Source organism: Homo sapiens, chromosome 20, assembly GCF_000001405.40.
Source record: "Homo sapiens chromosome 20, GRCh38.p14 Primary Assembly".
Taxonomy (NCBI): Eukaryota; Metazoa; Chordata; class Mammalia; order Primates; family Hominidae; genus Homo; species Homo sapiens.
In genome coordinates, this window is record NC_000020.11 from 47,344,245 (window position 1) to 47,363,142 (window position 18,898).

At 47.1% G+C, this 18,898-nt stretch overlaps 1 protein-coding gene and 1 long non-coding RNA gene across 21 annotated transcripts in view, besides 19 other annotated features; one reads left to right on the forward strand and one right to left on the reverse strand.

Annotated features, from left to right (window-relative positions):
• Window positions 1-12,455, reverse strand: part of ZMYND8 (zinc finger MYND-type containing 8) — a 147,486-nt gene extending 135,031 nt beyond the window's left edge. For 15 of the 20 annotated variants that reach the window (NM_001281781.3, NM_001281784.3, NM_001281771.3 and 12 more), the window contains exons 1-2: window positions 12,413-12,455; window positions 3,612-3,682 (exon numbers count right to left, since the gene is read on the reverse strand). In NM_001281781.3, the coding sequence (NP_001268710.1) occupies window positions 3,612-3,682; window positions 12,413-12,426 (85 nt within the window). In that variant the 5' untranslated portion in view covers window positions 12,427-12,455. Of the gene's footprint in view, window positions 1-3,611; window positions 3,683-5,616; window positions 5,745-6,949; window positions 7,035-7,465; window positions 7,506-11,205; window positions 11,277-12,135; window positions 12,193-12,412 lie in introns of those variants that run through there. The other 5 variants (NM_001281774.3, NM_001281773.3, NM_001281772.3 and 2 more) reach the window with 4 other exon arrangements.
• Window positions 1,607-2,353: an enhancer, noted in NCBI's record as "H3K27ac-H3K4me1 hESC enhancer chr20:45974595-45975341 (GRCh37/hg19 assembly coordinates)". NCBI's record gives its function as "activates a minimal SCP1, AML or CMV promoter by ChIP-STARR-seq in naive and primed H9 embryonic stem cells {active_cell/tissue: H9 hESC(naive and primed)}" and the evidence as "EXISTENCE:reporter gene assay evidence [ECO:0000049][PMID:30033119]".
• On the forward strand, window positions 8,317-10,389 carry LOC101927377 (uncharacterized). The gene is made up of 2 exons (NR_134501.1): window positions 8,317-8,496; window positions 8,761-10,389. It is a non-coding gene; the product is annotated as an uncharacterized LOC101927377 (long non-coding RNA).
• Window positions 8,427-8,576: an enhancer, noted in NCBI's record as "active region_17984". NCBI's record gives its function as "activates an Ori minimal core promoter by ATAC-STARR-seq in GM12878 lymphoblastoid cells {active_cell/tissue: GM12878}" and the evidence as "EXISTENCE:reporter gene assay evidence [ECO:0000049][PMID:35858748]".
• Window positions 10,456-11,063: an enhancer, noted in NCBI's record as "H3K27ac-H3K4me1 hESC enhancer chr20:45983444-45984051 (GRCh37/hg19 assembly coordinates)". NCBI's record gives its function as "activates a minimal SCP1, AML or CMV promoter by ChIP-STARR-seq in naive H9 embryonic stem cells {active_cell/tissue: H9 hESC(naive)}" and the evidence as "EXISTENCE:reporter gene assay evidence [ECO:0000049][PMID:30033119]".
• Window positions 10,904-10,983: an enhancer, noted in NCBI's record as "active region_17985". NCBI's record gives its function as "activates an Ori minimal core promoter by ATAC-STARR-seq in GM12878 lymphoblastoid cells {active_cell/tissue: GM12878}" and the evidence as "EXISTENCE:reporter gene assay evidence [ECO:0000049][PMID:35858748]".
• Window positions 12,266-12,435: an enhancer, noted in NCBI's record as "active region_17986". NCBI's record gives its function as "activates an Ori minimal core promoter by ATAC-STARR-seq in GM12878 lymphoblastoid cells {active_cell/tissue: GM12878}" and the evidence as "EXISTENCE:reporter gene assay evidence [ECO:0000049][PMID:35858748]".
• Window positions 12,266-12,886: a biological region, named in NCBI's record as "NANOG-H3K27ac-H3K4me1 hESC enhancer GRCh37_chr20:45985267-45985874".
• Window positions 12,279-12,886: an enhancer, noted in NCBI's record as "NANOG-H3K27ac-H3K4me1 hESC enhancer chr20:45985267-45985874 (GRCh37/hg19 assembly coordinates)". NCBI's record gives its function as "activates a minimal SCP1, AML or CMV promoter by ChIP-STARR-seq in naive H9 embryonic stem cells {active_cell/tissue: H9 hESC(naive)}" and the evidence as "EXISTENCE:reporter gene assay evidence [ECO:0000049][PMID:30033119]".
• Window positions 12,421-12,715: an enhancer, noted in NCBI's record as "tiled region #8686; HepG2 Activating DNase unmatched - State 1:Tss, and K562 Activating DNase unmatched - State 1:Tss". NCBI's record gives its function as "activates a minimal TATA promoter and a strong SV40 promoter by Sharpr-MPRA in HepG2 and K562 cells {active_cell/tissue: HepG2 | K562}" and the evidence as "EXISTENCE:reporter gene assay evidence [ECO:0000049][PMID:27701403]".
• Window positions 13,466-13,815: an enhancer, noted in NCBI's record as "active region_17987". NCBI's record gives its function as "activates an Ori minimal core promoter by ATAC-STARR-seq in GM12878 lymphoblastoid cells {active_cell/tissue: GM12878}" and the evidence as "EXISTENCE:reporter gene assay evidence [ECO:0000049][PMID:35858748]".
• Window positions 13,466-14,100: a biological region, named in NCBI's record as "NANOG-H3K27ac-H3K4me1 hESC enhancer GRCh37_chr20:45986483-45987088".
• Window positions 13,495-14,100: an enhancer, noted in NCBI's record as "NANOG-H3K27ac-H3K4me1 hESC enhancer chr20:45986483-45987088 (GRCh37/hg19 assembly coordinates)". NCBI's record gives its function as "activates a minimal SCP1, AML or CMV promoter by ChIP-STARR-seq in primed H9 embryonic stem cells {active_cell/tissue: H9 hESC(primed)}" and the evidence as "EXISTENCE:reporter gene assay evidence [ECO:0000049][PMID:30033119]".
• Window positions 14,101-14,708: an enhancer, noted in NCBI's record as "NANOG-H3K27ac-H3K4me1 hESC enhancer chr20:45987089-45987696 (GRCh37/hg19 assembly coordinates)". NCBI's record gives its function as "activates a minimal SCP1, AML or CMV promoter by ChIP-STARR-seq in primed H9 embryonic stem cells {active_cell/tissue: H9 hESC(primed)}" and the evidence as "EXISTENCE:reporter gene assay evidence [ECO:0000049][PMID:30033119]".
• Window positions 14,101-15,316: a biological region, named in NCBI's record as "NANOG-H3K27ac-H3K4me1 hESC enhancers GRCh37_chr20:45987089-45987696 and GRCh37_chr20:45987697-45988304". NCBI's record gives its function as "regulatory_interactions: ZMYND8".
• Window positions 14,562-14,775: a transcriptional cis regulatory region, noted in NCBI's record as "candidate enhancer chr20.2032 targeted for multiplex CRISPR interference". NCBI's record gives its function as "positively regulates ZMYND8 gene expression in K562 cells {active_cell/tissue: K562}" and the evidence as "EXISTENCE:mutant phenotype evidence [ECO:0000015][PMID:30612741]".
• Window positions 14,709-15,316: an enhancer, noted in NCBI's record as "NANOG-H3K27ac-H3K4me1 hESC enhancer chr20:45987697-45988304 (GRCh37/hg19 assembly coordinates)". NCBI's record gives its function as "activates a minimal SCP1, AML or CMV promoter by ChIP-STARR-seq in primed H9 embryonic stem cells {active_cell/tissue: H9 hESC(primed)}" and the evidence as "EXISTENCE:reporter gene assay evidence [ECO:0000049][PMID:30033119]".
• Window positions 14,881-15,175: an enhancer, noted in NCBI's record as "tiled region #8218; HepG2 Activating DNase unmatched - State 1:Tss". NCBI's record gives its function as "activates a minimal TATA promoter and a strong SV40 promoter by Sharpr-MPRA in HepG2 cells {active_cell/tissue: HepG2}" and the evidence as "EXISTENCE:reporter gene assay evidence [ECO:0000049][PMID:27701403]".
• Window positions 16,278-16,933: a transcriptional cis regulatory region, noted in NCBI's record as "candidate enhancer chr20.2033 targeted for multiplex CRISPR interference". NCBI's record gives its function as "positively regulates ZMYND8 gene expression with high confidence in K562 cells {active_cell/tissue: K562}" and the evidence as "EXISTENCE:mutant phenotype evidence [ECO:0000015][PMID:30612741]".
• Window positions 16,521-16,670: an enhancer, noted in NCBI's record as "active region_17988". NCBI's record gives its function as "activates an Ori minimal core promoter by ATAC-STARR-seq in GM12878 lymphoblastoid cells {active_cell/tissue: GM12878}" and the evidence as "EXISTENCE:reporter gene assay evidence [ECO:0000049][PMID:35858748]".
• Window positions 16,541-16,835: an enhancer, noted in NCBI's record as "tiled region #630; K562 Activating DNase unmatched - State 5:Enh". NCBI's record gives its function as "activates a minimal TATA promoter and a strong SV40 promoter by Sharpr-MPRA in K562 cells {active_cell/tissue: K562}" and the evidence as "EXISTENCE:reporter gene assay evidence [ECO:0000049][PMID:27701403]".

An 18,898-nucleotide genomic window follows, 5' to 3' on the forward strand; every position in this document is an offset into this window, starting at 1 on the left:
TGAGATTACAGGTGTGAGCCACTGCACAAGGCCAACAGTGATAGATCTTATTAATAATACATACCCTTGATGTGATATGATGAAAATGGCATTTTACCCTCTGTAGTCTTCTTCCTCCCCAAAACCCATAACCACAGTTTACCAGAGTCTAATCATGAGAAACACATTATACAAATCCCAATTGACAGGACAATCTACAAAATACCCGACCAGTATTCCTGAAAACCGGTAAGTTCCACAAAAACAAGAAAAGTCTAAGAAACTGTCACAGCCAACAGGAGCCCAGGCAGACAACTAAATGTAATGAGGAATCCTGAGTGGGATTCTAAAACGGAAAAGGGACTTTTGTGGGAAACCGAAGGAAATCTGAATAAGGGATGGCCTTTAGTTGGTAATAACATATCAAAATTGATGCATTATTTGTAACAATTACACCACACTAGTGTATGATGTTAATAATAGAAGAAATTGTGTGTGTGGAGCCAGGGGCTAACATGGGAACTCTTGGCACTATCCTCAAAACTTTTCTGGAAATCTAATACTACTGTTAAATTAAAAGTTCATTTTAAAAATGTAATAGAAAATTGGCCAGGCATGGTGGCACATGCCTATAATCCCAGCACTTTGGGAGGTCAAAGAGGGAGGATCACTTGAGGCCAAGGGTTTCAGACCAGCCTGGGCAACCCACTGCGACCTCATCCCTACAAAAAAAAAATTTTTTTAATTAGCCAGGTGAGGTGGTGTGCACCTGTAGTCCCAGCTACTCAGGAGGCTGAGGTGGGAAGATAGCTTGAGCCCAGGAGATTGAGGCTACAGTGAGCTTTGAGCCCAGGAGATCAAGGATACAGTGAGCTATGATCATACCAGTGCACTCTAGCCAGGACAGTGCAGTGAGACGTTGTCTTTTATATATATATTTAAAACAGAAAATAATGAAATGACTCCTTCAGACTCCGTGGCCACCAAAAGCCTCTTTGAGGAGCCACCATCTGAGATAAGTCTGAGATCACAATGAGAAATGGGCAGCCTGCTCCTGGCAAAAGACACACAGGGGCCCCAAGGAAGGAACCAAGAGGAAGGAGGCCAAGGAGCTCAAGTGAAGTTGGGGGAGAAATGGCACAAGGTGAACAGAACATCACAAAGGAAACAAAGGTAAACAGGGCCGGCCCAGGTAGGCAGGTCACGGTGACTTCAGACCTGAGTGGAAGGGTACTGGAAAATCATCAGAAGGAGTTAGCAAAATGAGACAGAACCTGACCCACTTTTTTTTTTTTTTTTTTTAAGACGGAGTCTCGCTCTGTCCCCTAGGCCGGAGTGCAAAGGCGTGGTCTTGGCTCACTGCAACCTCCGCCTCCTGGGTTCAAGCAATTCTCCTGCTTCAGCCTCCCAAGTAACTGGGATTATAGGCACATGCTGCCACGCCCAGATAATTTTTTTGTATTTTAGTAGAGATGGGGTTTCACCGTGTTGCCCAGGCTGGTCTCGAACTCCTGAGCTCAGACAATCCACCCGCCTCGCCCTCCCAAAGTGCTAAGATTACAGGCGTGAGCCAACGCACTCTGTCCACTTTTTTTTTTTTAATAGAGATGGGGGCGGGAGGGGGGGGTCTCGTTAAGTTGCCCAGGCTGGTTTCAAACTCCTGGCCTCAACTGATCCTCCCACTTCAGTCTCTCAAGTAGCTGGGATGATTGGCATGCGCCACTGTGCCTGACCCCAATCCACGTTTTTGAAGCGCATTCTGGCTGCTGAAGGGTGAGGATGGGAGTAGGAGAAAAGAGAGAAAGAGACAATGGTCACTCAGCTTGGTCATGCTTGGATAGAATCTAATCCAACACCCCACTTCACAAATACAAAAATGAAGGGACAGAGCCAGTGTCCAAGCCCCCTGGGGAAGGTAAGCAGCAGAACAGGGACAAGACCCCCACCCTCCTGGCCCCCTCTCTTCAGTCCCTCTCCACTTTGCCCCGTCTCCTGCTGGACCACATTTGATTCTGACCACAACAAGGGGGCTGAGAAGTGGCTGAGAGGCACGTGCTCCTGCAACATCAAAAACACCTCTGTGAGAAGGTACCTTCCTTGCTCTGAAGTCCCTGGTGGCTCAGCTCTCTTCACCATCAATGGCACTGAAACTTCCTGCCACCCAGCACAGGCTGGGTCATGCTGTGATGAGGGGGCAGCAGCCCTCTGCCTCCGCCCAGCCTCCTCCTGCTGCTCCCCAGCACACAGCACCCACCCAGTAAGCCAGGCCTTCCCACCCAGGGTGCCTCCCCTTCTGTGACCCCTGCCAGAGATCAGCAGCCAGCTTCTGCTTCCCAGGTCCCAGCCTTGACTACTGGACCCTCAACTTTGCCCCAAAATGACATACTGTCTTTTTTTTTTTGAGATGGAGTCTTGCTCTGTCGCCCAGGCTGGAGTGCAGTGGTGCGATCTCAGCTCACTGCAACCTCCGCCTCCCAGGTTCAAGTGATTCTCCTGCCTCAACCTCCTAAGTAGCTAGGATTACAGGCGCGTGCCACCATGCCCGACTAATTTTTGTATTTTTAGTAGAGACGGGGGTTTCACCATGTTGGCCAGGCTGGTCTCGAACGCCTGACCTCGTGATGGTCCGCCTTGGCCTCCCAAAGTGCTGGGATTACAGGCATGAGCCACCACGCCTGGCGACACGCTGTCTTGTAACAATCCTCAAAATGCTTTTGGTTTCAGACGCCTTTAGGGAGTCACTTTGTGCGACACTCTGCAGCCAAATGAGAATCTCCTTCCGGCAGTATGCAGTAACCCTGTCCAGCCTCTTCCTCCCTCCCCATAACCCCCAGTGCAAGGCTGTGTGTTCCAAGAAAGCACTCAGTGACTTGTTGAAGGAATGAAAACACCTTGGTACAACCATTAAGTTTGGAGATGAGCCTTTTCATCAACCAAAGATACGAAAAATACTCCAGTAGCTCATTTGTGAAAGCACCCTGAAGGTAAAAGTGAATAACTGCTTCATTTTGGGAAGCCTCATAAAATCTCTTTCACAAAGACCAAATGAAAAGTACCAATCCCTCAATTAGAAGATATTCAGGAGTCTACTCCAGGCTTGTGAATAAACGCATAAATTGTGTTTGTCCTAATTTGCTAAATTTTGAACTAAATGCAAACACTGGCCCCGGCATCCCAGCAAGCTCTACATTTCCTTTTTATCTCTAACCCAAGACCACCACTTTCCAGTGAAGCGGGCTGACTTCATCCCACTTCTGGGATTCCAAAGAGGTCTGTTGTTAAAATCAGAAAACGAGCAGCAGCTAGAGGCTCTGGTGGCTTCCAGAACATGCTTTATTTAAACTGTGGCTCCTGAAAGTCACCCTGCGGAGAGGTAGCCAGCCACCCTCAGTCATGACACACAGGTAAAATTCACTGTCAGGACCCCTACACAGGCACCAGGGAAAGAAAACCAAAAGGAGGAGAGTTCTCCATCAATTAGGTTCATCCATCAAAAAATCTTATATCTGAAAATCCAAGAAGAGTTACAACGTCGGCTCAGAGAGCCACACACTTCACTGCACTACAACAACAAAAAGAAATTCCAATTTCCTCCTTAGCTCTAGAATAGATAATACAAGATTTTTACTCACCTTTGGAGCGAGTAGAGATATCCATGCCCTCTACCACCTCCTGTTCTGTTTTTATTTCCTCTTCAGCCAAGCTGAAACAGAGCAAATTATGTTCATGTTTAGGAAGGCTGAGAACTTGCCCCATGGGGGCAGCTATTTGGAAGTTCTAGCAACAAACACACCTTAAAGACATTCCCTCATCCTTATCCAGGGCTGGGGGAGGAAACCCACACCTGATTTCAACAAAGTGTGAAGAGTCCTAAAGGAGTTTTTTAAAACACTAGGTTGTTCTTTTTTTTTTTAAGTCAAATTACTATTCCAGTTGTCATGCTATTGGGGAATGCAAAAGGCAATTTTTTAGACACACAATTACAACCTACCCCTGTGGGCCAATGAGAACCCAGCCTTCAAATAAACAAGCTTCTCATTGTTAACACAGGGTTCAAAGGCAGGGAGGTTGGAGGTGTTTTGCAGGGTATCCAGAATTCTGATCGCTGAATACTTTAGGGCAAAGAGTAAGATTTCCCACACCTCCCCCTAAATCTTACAATTCCCTGATGAGGCAGGAACATGGGAAAAAAAAGATACAGGTTAAATTACAAAGCAGAAAAATATGCCCAGCTAGAAGCTAAAGACCTGGTCTCAAAACACTGAACCGAGGAGCACTGATTCCAGCAATCAGACTGGGGTCTCCACACTTCCAACCCCCTGAATGCTTCCTCTCTACAGCAGGCACGGCTTACTACTGAGTTGTGACTAATTATCCCCCACCACAAAAGTGGAATGAGGAAGGATTATTCAAAAGACAAAGGCTAAGAGTGGAGGGTTGGGGAGAGAAGCAAATAAAGCAAGCCCCTTTGCTGGGAGGGTCCGTCACCCAGAACATTCTCTCTCTCTCTCTGCTGGAACTAGGGTTGAAAGAGAGCCGGCCATATCAGATCTTCCTCCCACAGAGAACTCACAAGCTAAACCAAAGGGAAAAAATAGAGTTCTGCTTTCATAGATGCAAATGGTTTGAGGTGCTAGAACTTTCCAAACATTCAGGCTGACACTGAAGTGGTAAGAAGCTGGGCATTTACTCCAGAAGCAATTCCATCAGACTGTCGTTCCACAGGAAGAAATGGGTGCATCACCAATTGATATGGCTGGAATTTTCCATTTGGAAGACTCAACGCCAGGACAGGAAGGAGGCTGGGGAAGAGAGAATGTCCTGTCCTGGGGAAGAGAGAATGTTCCGTGGTCTGGGACTGTGACAACGCAAAAGGCCCAAAAAGACAGCCTCATGTCTCGAACCCTAGTATAAGGAGAAGATTTTAGGAGAGTTCCACGTTAGGAGGAGAGGACTTAGGATGGGAGCTAGATAGAATGGAAAAGATTATAGTTCAGAGTTAAATTATAGGGGCTTGGAGACGAAGAAAGGTAGTTGGGTTTAAATGAGAATATTAACACATTTAGCCATCTGATTTTGAACCCCGTTAACAATTTCATTTACACCGCATCTGTAAAGAAAGCCTGTGACACAAATCACCAAAGAAACAACTGACATGTTGTCACAAATGGTTTTCATCAGGAGAAAGCAGCCTGCTAAATTTAAACACATCGCTTATATGCAATAATACAACGGTGATTTATTGAAGGTTATTTCAGCACTAATGCTTTCTATTCCAACTTAAGGAGAAAACATTCTCAACTCAGAAACACTCTGCCTGAAACATACACAGGTTGTCCAACTGGATGCTGTTGATGGGTTCTGGCTTGGGGTGACTGGAAATACATCTTAACAAAAAGCCCCATGCAGCCCTCGGAGATGGGTAGACAGTTAACTTCAAAGGAACAAATAGCAACCTTGATCTTTTCTAGCAACTAGAATTCTGTTTCCCTCTCTAGCATGAAGTATGTGAAATTCTAAACTTCTTGAAACCGATCCCATATTTTGAGTAATAGAGAAAACGCTAATCTGTGATCCAACTGAAATCTACAGTGGTGAGGGAAACAATTATGCAGAACTGAGCCAAAAAAAACCCACTTGAAGGATTTCTGCAGCGATGAAAACATTCAAAGGTGTATTGATCATGGAGGAAGGCTGCATTCAAGGGAACCATTATTTGGCTTGTAACAGCCTAGAGGAGCTGAATACTTCAGGCAGGAATGCTGCTGAGAGACGAGGAAAATGCAAACTAGTTATGTGGTGGCTATTTGCTTCTGAGTTTTAAGATAATCAATGCTGGAGCAGAAGAGAGAGGGAAAAAAAAGTTAAGCTGTTTTATCTTTCCAAGTATTACAAGTGGGCACCATAATCACCCAACTTTAGCAATAGCACCACCAGCTTTAGCACAGCATTTCAAGCACAACAATTTAAGAAAACCATCTTTTTCACAGATCAGCAAACCATCCTTTCAAAAGGAACCCGTGCACACACATGCACGCACACTCACACACACAATTAACTTGTATTTGACTAAAGGAAACTGCAGTGTCTATGCATTAAAAGGAGAAAAAAAAAAAAAAAAAAAAAAAACTTCATTTACAAAAGCAAAGACCAGAATGCAAAATTAGTCATTTTGAATAGCCACATCTAAAGGGACTTCCTTTTTCCTACACCACTGATTTCGGTTTTTTTGTGTGTGTGTGTGTGTTTTTTTTTGATTTAGTGTTAAGAACTAGTATGTTATTAGGAAAAAAAAATGAATATTACATCAAAAGTAGGCGCAAGAAAAGATCTGTACCTGTCTGAATTGCCCCACTGATGTTGGTCAATTTAGGTTAAGAACTGTTCAGTCATTTGGGGGAAAAAAAACAGTCAAATAATTCTTAAAAAGAAAAGGCAGCTGCATCTGGAGAAAATACTCTGAACTTCTGTCATTAACACATTAAAGTCTTAGAACATAGACAGCTTATTTCCTTCCATATCTGCTAGCTTCCAGCAACCCTGATGATTTAAATCAAAAACAATGGGACAACAAGCTCTTGTTTCAAACTGACATTACTTTTTTCCCTTTAAAGGTCTGTTGAGGAAACTGGGGGCCCGCTACAGAAAAGGGTAAAATTAGCTGAAAAGCAAACAATTTCTCACTCCAATAGGAAAATACACCATCAACTAGTTAGATACATTGTATACACCACCACCTCTTACACTCACATTTACCCAAGTCATTTGCCTGCAGATTTCACAAACTGATACATTTGAGGCAATTCAAAGAAATAACAGTACCTGCAAAGATAACCAAGACCACCCCATCCCATCCCAAAAAGAATAAAAGATTTCTCCCCCAGTGCCTGAGCAAGAAAACCTATGCTTACTTCTTAACCTGCATGCACTGAAAAAAGAGCAATTAAAAGTTGCAGATGAACTACTGCACCTCCAGGATGCTTTAAGCCTTCTGATTGTTAATTCTGAGGACTCAGGGATGGTCCGTAATTCCCAGGAATCTCATCTCCTCAACACTTCCAAGAGAGAGAAAAAAGAAAGCATCTAGTTTTGACAGAAAAATGCCTGAATACACAATGCCCACATATTTCTTTTCCCCAAGTGCCCCTACTATTTGACTTTTAAAGAAGAGTATCTAAGCCATCTAGAATATATAACCAACATGCACAAGACTCTGGTTCTACAGATGAGGATCATCGCACAGCAATTCAAGAATCATGCATCATTCGAAAGGACTTTTCCTGGTTTTTACTTTTCATTCAAAATACCAAAATGGTCCAGGCTGTAAGAAATATTTAATCCCCAAGGCATAACATCTTCCTCTTCTAGATTACAAAATAGTGAACATCAAAATTAAAAACCATGCTTCCCTAAATCTACAATTAATTTTTTAAGAAATTGGGGTGGGGGGGAATGGTTAGCAGAGCAGCTTTATATAAGCACTCACCTAAAACAGGCAGAGTCATCGGTAGCTAAGCTATTTATGCAGGATTCTTAAAATGGCGTCTGGCAACACTGCCTCATTCCTGTGTTGAAGCTAAAATGGTAGCAGTTTGTTCAATAGCTGTAGCTCTTGTTTAAGCAGCCCTGCGAGTTTCAAAGCCACCTTCCTAAATACCAGAACTAGGAAAAGCTGAACCAAAGGACACCAACAACCCAACGTTTAGAAGCTTAAAAAAAACTCTGCAATGACAGGGAGAGTTTGTGAAGTCACAGGTTCCTAAGGAAAAGCCTTCTCTTGTAGATCCTGAGCCTTCAACATGAGGCTCTGTGATGAGGCCCCCTTGCCCTCAAATTAGGTGGGTAGAAGGTTAGGAATCGTGCAGCCCCGTGGCACAAACTGCAGACGGACAGGTGTCTGTGCAAACACAAAAATGTTCCCAGGGAGCAGCCTGGGGGAAGGCAAGGAGGAAGCCCGGTCCCCCTTCTCTTCTCAGTCTATTAGAAACCAGCTTTGCATCCATACCAAAAAGGCGCTAGGTAAAATGAAAGTGCTTCAAGGACAGCAGGCATCTGAAAAGCCAAGCTAAAGGGCTGCACCTCAGTCTACGGCAAAGGTAAAATAAAAAGGCTGTTTATAAGCCTGCAAACAGCCACCAAATACCCAGCCCTCTGAAGCAGCCAGTCCTAAGACAGTTAACATCAAGGAAAGACAATCCGAGTCTGCAGAGGAGAAACACAAGGAAAACATTCCCTTATCCAATGCACAGGATACTCACAAATTAGATTTCTGACCACCCCCAACAGAGCCTGAGAATTAACAATGGGTTTTGCAAAACCCGCTTTCAGAGGCCGAACTAACAGCCTGAGTGGATAACGTCATTTACTGTTACAGGTCTGAGCATTGGCCTCAGAACTCCTCTGGTGCTGGGAGTGAGGAGTTTCAAGGTGACTGCTTTTTAGCTCCAGGGGAGAAAGGAGGGCACAGTGCCCAAGGCCATGCCAGGGCAAGGACGGGCCACTGGCCCCCGCCGGCCGGTAGGTAAGGTAATCGGGATGGGGGGGACAGGCTGGCAGCACACTGGCTGCAGAGCTGGCATGGCCACTGCCTGTTTGTTTGTCTGCAAGGAGAGTGGGAAGTAGCGGGGAGGGTGACCATAACCTTAGCAACCTGAAGCCAAGGGTGAACCCTTGCTCAGATCTTGCATTTTAAGAGTAACCAAAGGGTTCTGAAACATATTCCCTTTTTAAATCTCTGCTGTGCAGTAGCGAAGGCCCCTTTGAATGTATCTTTCTTTCCAGAGTCAACCAGAGGCAAAGCCAGATTGAGGGTTCCCAGGCTGACAAATGTCTGCTGCCTCTGCCACAGGAGAGAGAAGGGGAAAGAGGGCAAAAGAAACAAAGACATCACGCGTTGCAAGTGGCTGGACTTTTAAAAACCTACCTTTGCCTCCAGGGTTTTCTAGGTTACTGTCACCCCACTTCCTAAAAAGTGTCTCCCCCCTCATCCTATTTAAGACCTGATGCAGTCTCCCCACTGGTTCTCCCAGGGAAAGAAAAGGGGAAATGTTTTGTTGAAAATAAAAGGGATGACAAGAAAGAAAGGAAAAAAAGCTATTGTTTTCATCCCTAATTTATAATCCAAGAGGCCCCCAATTGTTTCTTTCTGACTCAAATCTTTGAGCTGTTAATTATAAAAGTAACTGGACTTGGCGCCAACGGGCTAACTATGATCAGGCTCAGCAATTAGAAAAACTCTGTAGAAAGTTTACTGAGTGATTATATATAATTAATTCCTAGTTACAGACTGAACACTGACCATTTTCTGGAGCTAATAAAAGCAGTTACTCCCCCTCCCCCACGTGAATGCCACTTAATTTCCCAAAGCAGAAAGTGAATCCATCCTGGAGGGTCTTGAAGGAAAAAAAAGGAGAGGAATCAAAAGCTTCAGTGTGTCTGTGTTTGCTCCTTGCAGCTGTGTATCCTCTTTGGGGACTGAGGAGGCAGAAGGAAAAAGGAAAACAGCCCAACATTCTGTTCCTCCTTCTGCAATTTACAAACGTGGCAGAGAGAACATTCTACCTTGATGAGAAAAAGAAGGGGGGTTGGGGGGAAGCAGGGAAGGGAGATGACCTAGGAATGGAAGGTAGGAGACGCTTCTGCTTGGCAGATCTGCTTTTCCTAAAAGGAACAAAGATGGTAGAAATTTCCAGAAGGCCCGTTCTTAGTTCGGCCACTGCAATTGTCAATCTTTAACCTTTCCTCCAAGTCTATTGGTTTAAAAGCTAGAGTAGAAGAACCCCATTGGGCTGCTCTGGGAGCCAGTACTGCCGTCCCTACCTAGTCCTGCTGCAATGCAGACATTTATTTTTTTCCCCCTTTCCTGAAACTGGAAAATAATGCTACTTTGAAAGCAATTAACTTTTTACAGACTCATGCTTGGTAGGGGTCACAGTACCAGAGGAAAAGTGGCTAGCTTGGTCCAGGGTTGGGAACTTGCTGGGGGCTGTACATTTGAAAACAGATCTTGGCTCTCCAAACCTGTGGGAGCCATTTTAATGCAAGCTTTTAGAGGACAAATGCCTTGCCCTTAAGTTCCCTTCCAGCCCAACAAACACAGTATTATGCAAACGTTGAAGGCACCAAACCAGGAGTCTTATGATTAGATATTGCTTCTAGGGAGGCCACAAGAACCTCGATATGTAATTTCCATTTACAGCAAGGAGATAAGAACAAAGAAAATAGCTGAGTGTCTGAACTTACTTGTTTGGGGCAGTGGCACTGTTCAGTTTTAAGTATATAACATCATTAACTGCCTGCAGTTTTACTCTAAGAAGCTAAGCTGGCCTGCCTTGCACAGACTTTTCTCAACTTAGAATGTGGTACGTTTCTGCTGATTAAATGAGCCTTTTTCCAATTCGGTGTCAGAAAGTGGGCTACTGGACACTCATTTGAAAGAAAAAAGATTACTGACTCCATAAAGTTGACATAACACAGCAATTGAATATATTTCCTGCATTTACGGTCATGTCGGATTGGTCTCCAAGCTGAAAATTTATGTACTGAACTTCTAGGGAAATTCTGAAGGTACTGCTAAACAAGACTCTACTTTTCCCACTTAACTTCTAGCTGCAGCCTTAAGTGGTCAAGGGAAATGTAAAAAGTGAGAAATCTTATGTGGGGCCAGCATGCATACAGATGTGTGGAGGAGACCTGAAAAAAGGCCAAAATGTGTTGGTCAGTGAGTCCTGAATCAAACCCAGTCTGGTGGTAGATGAGATTTTGCACTATACATAAGTCCTAAAACATGAGCACACTGACACCACCCCCCCAACACACACATACCACCACCACCACCAGCTTCTACACCACCAATGTTTTTAGGGCTCTGCACCTCTAAGAACAAGCAGTTTCATGACATTTCACAAGCACATCACCTACTCACAGTTTGAATATCCAAACAAACCCCATTAAAGGTCTAGAGTCAAGTCACAATGAACTGAACATTTCTCCCCTGACTCAGGGTAAACAGGAAGTATAATCTTCAATCCTAGCTGCAGGTTATCAGGAAAAACAGTGGATTCAAACAGTCACCTAAAATCAAGACACTCTTTAAAAAGCCCTTATTTTGTTCCTGCTAATGAAGCCCCCAACTCCTGTAGCCAAGACCCACTATTACAAACAGACCCCAAATGTTCGCAAAACTCTTCAAACATGGTCACAGAGGAAATGGATTGCTTTACTTACCCAACAAATGTTCAAGCAACCGTCTCATTTTTCCACAGTTAGGAAGAGAGAACAGGCTGGCAGATTTGGGACTTGATCAAAAAGGAAATTTTTTTAAACAGTTACATGGTATTATTAAAAACACACACAACAACAACAACACAACCCAACAACTGAATATGGAATGCTGTCATGAGCCACAGACATGATTTTATTTCCTCTACACTCCATGACACAGGAGAAGAGAGGAGGATACAATGTATAAAAGGGACAGGAAAATGAAAACAAGGATAAAAGGTAACATTAGTTCCTTGAAAATCATGCAAGAGTAGAAAGCTAAGGGATTCAGAATCCTTGCAGATTTTTTTTTTTTTTTTTTTTTGCAGGATGTTGTCCAAGATCTCTCCCCCCACCCCCCAGTCCCCATCCCTACTCCAAAAAACTTCCTCCAAAGCCTAGAAAACACTTTCAGAAACATTTGCTGGCTGTAGGCTGGCTTGCAGAACACTCTGTAGCAACCTAAGTCAGGAAAACAGGCTGAACAATGTAGTTTCAAGTGCAGAAGCTCTGTAGAATAAGAGAAGACCGTGTACAGACACCACCACCCACCTAGGCCCCAGGAGCTAGACTCTCCTTAGCACTGCTCTGCTGAGGGCACAATTCTTTTGCAAACACGCTCCTCTCTTGTCAAAACTTATCCAGCCTTCCCAGAACCTCTTTGGAGAGGCAAACTTGCCTGCTCTGCTGTCTGCCATGAGCTCTCCTTGGAGAGGAGCCTGTTTGCTTACCTTCCATTTTCTTCCCCCAGCAGGGCATGTGGCAAAAGAGAAGACAATAGTGCAGGGGTGGGAGGGGGGGAACTGCTCAGAGAGAGAGAGAGGGGAAGAGAGAGGGAAGAGGGAAAGAAAAAAAAAAAAAGAAGGAAAAAAAAAAGCTTCTTTTTTGGCATACCAGGATCTAGCTTCAAACTCTTCCAGAAACACCATGCCCTGGTGGAAGGAAAGGTGTGCCAGGCCCTTGCCAGTTTGCAAAATCAAGCTATGGCTAATGGCTACTGAGCCATGTGACCCAAGAAAGCAAAAAAATTCTCTCTAAACAGTTCCAAGTTAACATAAGTGCTCTGGGGGTGAGTGTGGCACGGCCAGCCACAGAGAAATCACACTGCTCGCCCACAATTCGGATGTCTCAGAGGGAGGGGGAAAAAAGATGGTTAAAAAGTCGAGCTTACCTCTGTGGATGCATTGTTAACACTGTGTAATGTCAATACTTATAAAACATGGAGGACAGGCTCCTAGTTCTCACAGAAAAAGGGTTTGGCACTTCGGCTGATGATCTGGCCGCCTAATAAAAGCTCATCCCCGATTGGCTGCCCCGGCAAATCGGAGTGTAAAGCCGCCCCGGATTGGCTGAAACACTTCCTGAGCGATTATCTTTGTGAGGCTCGGGTGAGCAAGAGCCATCCTGTGCATAGAAAAAGACAGGCTAAGCTAGGCCTTTTGCAGCAAGAAAAACTTGGGAAAGGGGCCCCCACACGCACTTCTCCTGCACCCTGGCTAGATTTCCCGGCACGGGCCAGCCAGGGCAGCCAGCCTGACCTGCTCCAGGAAAGCCTGAGGCCCGGAGGTCCCTGGGAAGGGAGTTTCTTGGAGTGGGCTGGAACGGCTCACCCTCACCTGCCCCCAGAGAAACGGCCCTTGTCCAGGGAGGAAGGCCAGCCTTTTTCTAGAACAGTCCAGCAGGGTGGCTCTCCAAGGGGAAGGGGAAGCTGGGGAGTGGGGAGTCCCGGGGAAACAGCCAAGGGGCCAGAAAAAGGGGCTTGAGGCAGGCCTCTGAGAAGCTGGGGGAAGCAGGCAGCCCGGGGGAGCCCCGAAAAATCAGCAGAGAGCAGCCCTGGCTTCTCAGAGGAGCGAGGAGTAGCTGCTGAGGGGAGGAGGGGAGCAGAGTGGTCAAGTTTGCATAGTCATTGTCCCCATGCCTCCTTGCAAGGCAGGCCAGGGAGCCGTGGGCCTCTCGCGCCCTGCTTAGCCAGTCCTGCAGGCAAAATCAACGTGGGTTCCTGTCGCCCTGCCACGATGCCAAGGGGGACCCCTCTCGGTCCTTACCCTAAGAAAAACCCAAAGCCCTCCTCGCAGGCCACATGCCTGGATCTACAAACTTCCCTTCCCTCCCGGCCCCTCCCCCGCGGCCGAGACCTGCTAAACCTGTCAGTTAAACACAAATCTGACTTCCGTATTAGCCTGCGATGCCTTCGGCTTCCTGCCTGTTAACCCTCTCTCGGACTCGGGGCCTGGCTGGGAAAAACTAGGCCTTGAGATCGCAGCGAAGGCCTGTGGAAAAATACCAGCTGCAGCTCTCCCGGCAGATGCAGAAAGAGAGAGAGAGAGCCGCTGTCTCTCAGCCTTTGCTTCCCAGGGAGGCGTGTACCTTGTGAATCCAGGGCACAGGCAGTGCCTCTCGGGCTGAGAAGCCATTTCAATCCAGAGGGAGACAGAAAGATGGCACGCTCAGCCCGGAAACAAGAGCCCCCATTATGCGTCAGGCCTACCCCCGTAGGTCAGCCCTTCCTGCCACAATCATCCCTGTATGTGTGTGCCTGGGGGAGTTGGGCCCTCCTCGGTGGGCAGACAAATCCCCTGGGCTTCCTAAGGATTCTTGCTTCCATTTATTTGCACAGAGAACGGCTTCTTTTCGTCCCCCAAGGCAGATGGAGCAGCGATTTCACACACAGCCCTCCATTTGGCAGCCCCCCCACCCCCCCATCTCTGGCACCGCTCCCCAGTAAAATATTAACTGGTTGTTCAGAGCTGCTTACAATTCTACCCACTTCAATTGCGTTAGGAGGTCTTTGCTGGTCTCCTCCCTAAAGCTGCCTTCGCAGTTGGTCTGTACCCAGAGATAGAAAAGGACCGTAAAATGTCCCCAGCTTTCTCGCTCTCTTTCCTTCTTCGGCATTTTAAATGACAAGGTGCTTAATTAACAGGATTTTTTAAAACAGCAACCTGGAACCACAGAAGCTAAATAAACACCATTCTTTAGAGGCTGGAGAAAGCGTCCAGAGTTAACGCAGCCATATGCCAGGAGGCATAACTCCGGAGCAATAAAGTCTCCCCTCTCCTCCTAAAATTAGGACTTGTGGGCTTTCTTGTCCCACACGGTTCCCACAAAGAAAACGAAGAGCTGATGGCTTGCTTTCCCTGCCCCCCCCCAACCCCCACATGGACAACAGATGCCCACTGCTTGTACATAAATTCTTCCTGGCCGGGAATCTCATATCAAACAGGCTCAGGAACGAGCTGGGAATCGAAACTCACTGTACGGCAGGGCAGGACCCAGGCTTTATAAAAACGGACAGGATGTTGCTGTTGTTACTGTTTTAGGCTGCTGAGGCCAAGCTGCAGGGAGGGACAGCTCCATGGCCACCCAACCTGACAAAGCTCCAGGGCTCAGGACAGCAGGCCTGGGCCTCACCAAAAGGGAGGGGCCTGCTCTTCCTGGAGGTAGAAAGCTGCATGGGGAGACTAAATGGGAGGAGGCGAGAGGTGGAGGCCACAGTGAAGCAGTGCGTGCTCACCCTCCTAGCTGTGTGGGCAGCGGCCCTCCACCGCCATCCCATATGGAATGCTGTTTGTTTCTGCGGGTGCTGCTTTGAGGGGAACAAACAGGACTGTGGGGTTGGTGGCAGATCTCCCATGCAGCTAAGTCCACGAACCAATGAGGAAATAAAATATGCCGCTGGTGTGCGTGGTGGATTTTAACCTGGGATTAAAGCTTGTTGCATAAGCAGCTACAGCATCCTCCCCGCCTCCCTCCCTCTCTCTGATCACTTGATCACTTGAAATGTTTTCTGGGGCAAAGAGCAGGAAGCTGCTGGCTTATTCTGGCAGCTCTGCTCTGTTTGAGGAATGCTGTTGGCATTCGGGTAGGTCTGAGGTTATCTGGAAAACAGCAATTCGGCTGGGGACAGACACAAAAGTATGGTGGCAGATGGAATCCTGGGAGGAACACAGATTGAAAAGAAAGCCTGGGGCAGGCCTACGAAGGGCTGGTCCTGGGCTTCATGGAATGTGGCTGATAAGCAGGAAATAAAACCAAATGTTGCAGGTCTCAATCTAGAAATCCATTCAGCAGCTCCTCTTAAAGCCCCACTGCAGTGAGTATCCCAGCAGTTACTTCTAAATTAGTGCTTTACATAGACTGATTCCTGAAGTAGGTGGCATTGTTAGAAACCTGGAACTAAGCCCAGAGAGGTGAAGTGAGCTGCCCAAGGTCACACAGCTGGGAAGTGCCAGAGATCAGATGTCCACCCCGTTAGCACTTCACATCCCTAAACTCTGTACCTTCTCCTGGCTCTAAAGAAAGAAGCAAAAGCAAAGCCGAACCAAGCACAGCAGAAACAATGAGGCTGAAACCTACGAACAGCAACTGCATAATCTGTGTTTTCTTTTAGGAGGTAGACCAGTTTTTTGCTTTTTTGTTTTTTGATACAGTGTCTCGCTCTGTCGCCCAGGCTTGAGTGCAGTGGCATCATCACAACTCAATGCTGCAACCTGAAGACCCACCCTTTTGAGGTGGGTTTTCAGTATTGAATGATGGCGCTGAAGGAAACTTTTAGATTAGACTCATTCAAATGCCCCTCATTACAGATTGAGGCCCAGAGGAAGCGACCCTCTCCCTCCCAACCTCCAGCAAGATGCAAGATGTCAAGGGGGAACACTTTGCCATCTCTAAAATTAGGCTTTTATATTCCCTGAAACCAGTGGTTCAACCATGGGGGGATTTGCCCTTCAGGGGGCATTTGGCAATGCTTGGAGACGTGTGGGTTGTCACAGTTAGGGAGGTTGTATTACCGGTATCCAGTGGGTAGAGGCCAAGGATGATGCAAAACATCCTATAAGTACACAAGACCAGCCCCGCCACAACAAGGAAGTATCTGATCCAAAATGTCCAAGGTTGGGAAACCCTGGCTTTAAGCCCTTTAAGGAAAGGGAAGAAAACAGTCCAATCATTCTGCCTCTGGCTAGAAAAGCCAGCACAGGCCTAAACAAGCAGGTTCTTTGGTGATATTAATAAGCAATGAGCTAATAAAAATAGATTAAAACGTGTCTCTCTTAATATTCCCAGGGTACAGAGAGGATTGGGGTACAGAATCAGGCTGTGGGGAGCCAGGCAGAGTGTCACAGTAACAACACTGGTCTCGAGGGAGAGGAAAGGCTGGCCCCAGCTCCCTTCCCCCAGCACCTTACGAGCTGAGGCCTGGCCTCCCTGAAATGGCTCGCCCGTTCCGCTGGCCTCCAGCCAGGCGAGCAGCAGCAGGAGCGGCCCCACAAGCTGCATCCCGAGATAGCCTGTTCGGCTGCCTACAAAAATAAGCACACTTGCAGTTATCGGCCTCCAGCTACAGCAGGCCTCTCTGACCGTTACGCGAAATGGACAGGATTGAGTCAGGGAAGTGTTTTAAATATCTTGTTTTGTTTTGTTCCTTTCTGGCCAATTAGAACCGAGGCCAACTTCGGGCACGGTGACAGAAGGGCTCACCTTCAGAGCCCGGAGCTGACTGTGTCATGTTACAGCCACAAAGAGGCAGATAGGAGCCTCCCTCCCTTGGAGAAGATGCCTACTAGGAGAGGGGTGTGGGGTTTTTTGGTTTTGTTTTGTTTTTTTACCTCTTTCTAGGAGGGACTGGCAGGATTAGGCAAACGGCGGGAGGGAAAACAAAAAGGGCTAGTGGAAAGGGCAGGGGGTGGATGGTCGCCCCTCATCAGGCAGATGGCCACAGCGCGGGTGGGGCGCCGAGCAAGGGATGCAGGAGCAGAAGGAAAATGAAAAGCAGGAAAACTCAGGCCCTACTCTTTTTTCTTCCTAGCAATTACTTTTATGGGCAGAAGACTATAGATTCGTTCGCTCTGTTTCTCCCTCCCACTGGACCGGTGGTTTTGCCCCCGCAAGGGGACATTTAGCAATGCCTAGGGACATTTTGGGTTGTCTCCATTTTGGGTTGTAAGATCTTTCAGGGAAGTGGGGAGTGCTACTGGCATCTAGTGCTGCTAAACATCCTACAACACATAGGACAAGACCCCCCAGCGGAGAATTAGCCAGCCTCAAATGTCAATAGTGCAGAGGCTGAGAAACTGTGCACCAGGCTGAGCACTTCACGAGGCAAGGAAGGACCTTGTCTGAATTCTTCACCATCATGCCCTCAAGAGTTGAACACAGCACTTGACATATATTAGAGCTCAGTAGAACACCATCTCCCATCCGGATGGTTGCAAGAATCTTACCTGAGCTCTCTGCTTCCGCCCTTGCAAACGCTTGTACACATGCACTCACACACACATACACACACTGTACCACCCAGGCTGCCAGTGATCCTTTTATTTTTTTTTCTCTCCCTTTTTTTTTTTTTTTTTTTGAGACAAAGTCTCACTCTGTCGCCCAGGCTAGAGTGCAGTGGCACAATCTCAGCTCACTGCAACCTCCGTATCCCAGGATCGTGCAATTCTCCTGCCTCAGCCTCCTGAGGAGCTGGGATTACAGGCACATGCCACCACACCCAGCTAATATTTTGTGTCTTTAGTAGAGACGGGGGTTTCACCATGTTGTCCAGGATGGTCTCGATCTCCTGACCTCGTGATCCGCCTGCCTTGGCCTCCCAAAGTGCTGGGATTACAGGCGTGAGCCACCATGCCCAGCCACTTATTTATTTTATTTTATTTTTTCTGAGACACAGTCTCACTCTGTCGCCCAGGCTGGAGTGCAGTGGCGCCATCTCAGCTCACTGCAACATCCGCCTCCTGGATTCAAGTGATTCTGCTGCCTCAGCCTCCCGAGTAGCTGGGATTACAGGTGCAAACCACCACGCCCGGCTAATTTTTTTTTTTTTTTTTGTATTTTTAGTAGAGACGGGGTTTCAAATTTCACCATGTTGGCCAGGCTGGTCAGGAACTCCTAAGCTCAAGCGATCCGCCTGCGTTGGCCTCCCAAAGTGTTGGGATTACAAGCGTGAACCACCGTTCCCGGCCAGCCAGTGATCCTTTCAAAACACAAGTCAGCTCCTGTCCTTCCTCTGCTCAAAATCCATCAATGACTCCTATTTCTCAGTAACAGCCCAAGTCCAGATAACGGCCCACCAGCCTCCCGGCTGGCACTGTGCCCTTCTGACCTCCGACCATCTCCCTCCACCCTCCTGTGGCTCACTCTGCTCCGGCCACTCCGATCATCCACCTGTTCTTTCCATTCTCTAACTTGTTCTCTCCTCCTTGGAGCCGTGGTACTTGATCTTCTACTCTGACCCTTCCTACAATCAATGGATCTGCCCACTTCCCCAAACCACCCAGCAGCTAGCCATTTCCTCCGCGGGGCCTCAACATGTCTGTATCTTCCCTGCTGCTTCTGAAAGGATTCCCCACAGCCGACAAGGCCTCTCTTCTGCTGCACCCTACATCAGATATCTTTCCATCTGAGCCCTGGCTTAAAAACTAGCCCCATTTCTCTTGCACCTGTAACCTTTTTCCTCTCTCTTCCCCACATCAAGAAGCACAACTGTGCAGTGATTGAGTGTGTGGCTGCTGGTGCCACACTCTCTGGGTGTGGATCCCAGCCACCCCACTTGCCAGCTGTGCGGCCTTGCTTGAAGTACTAAGTTCTCTGTGCCTTGATTTTCTCATCAGTACAATGGGAACAAAAATAAAAAGTGCCTGGAATCATTGAATAAATC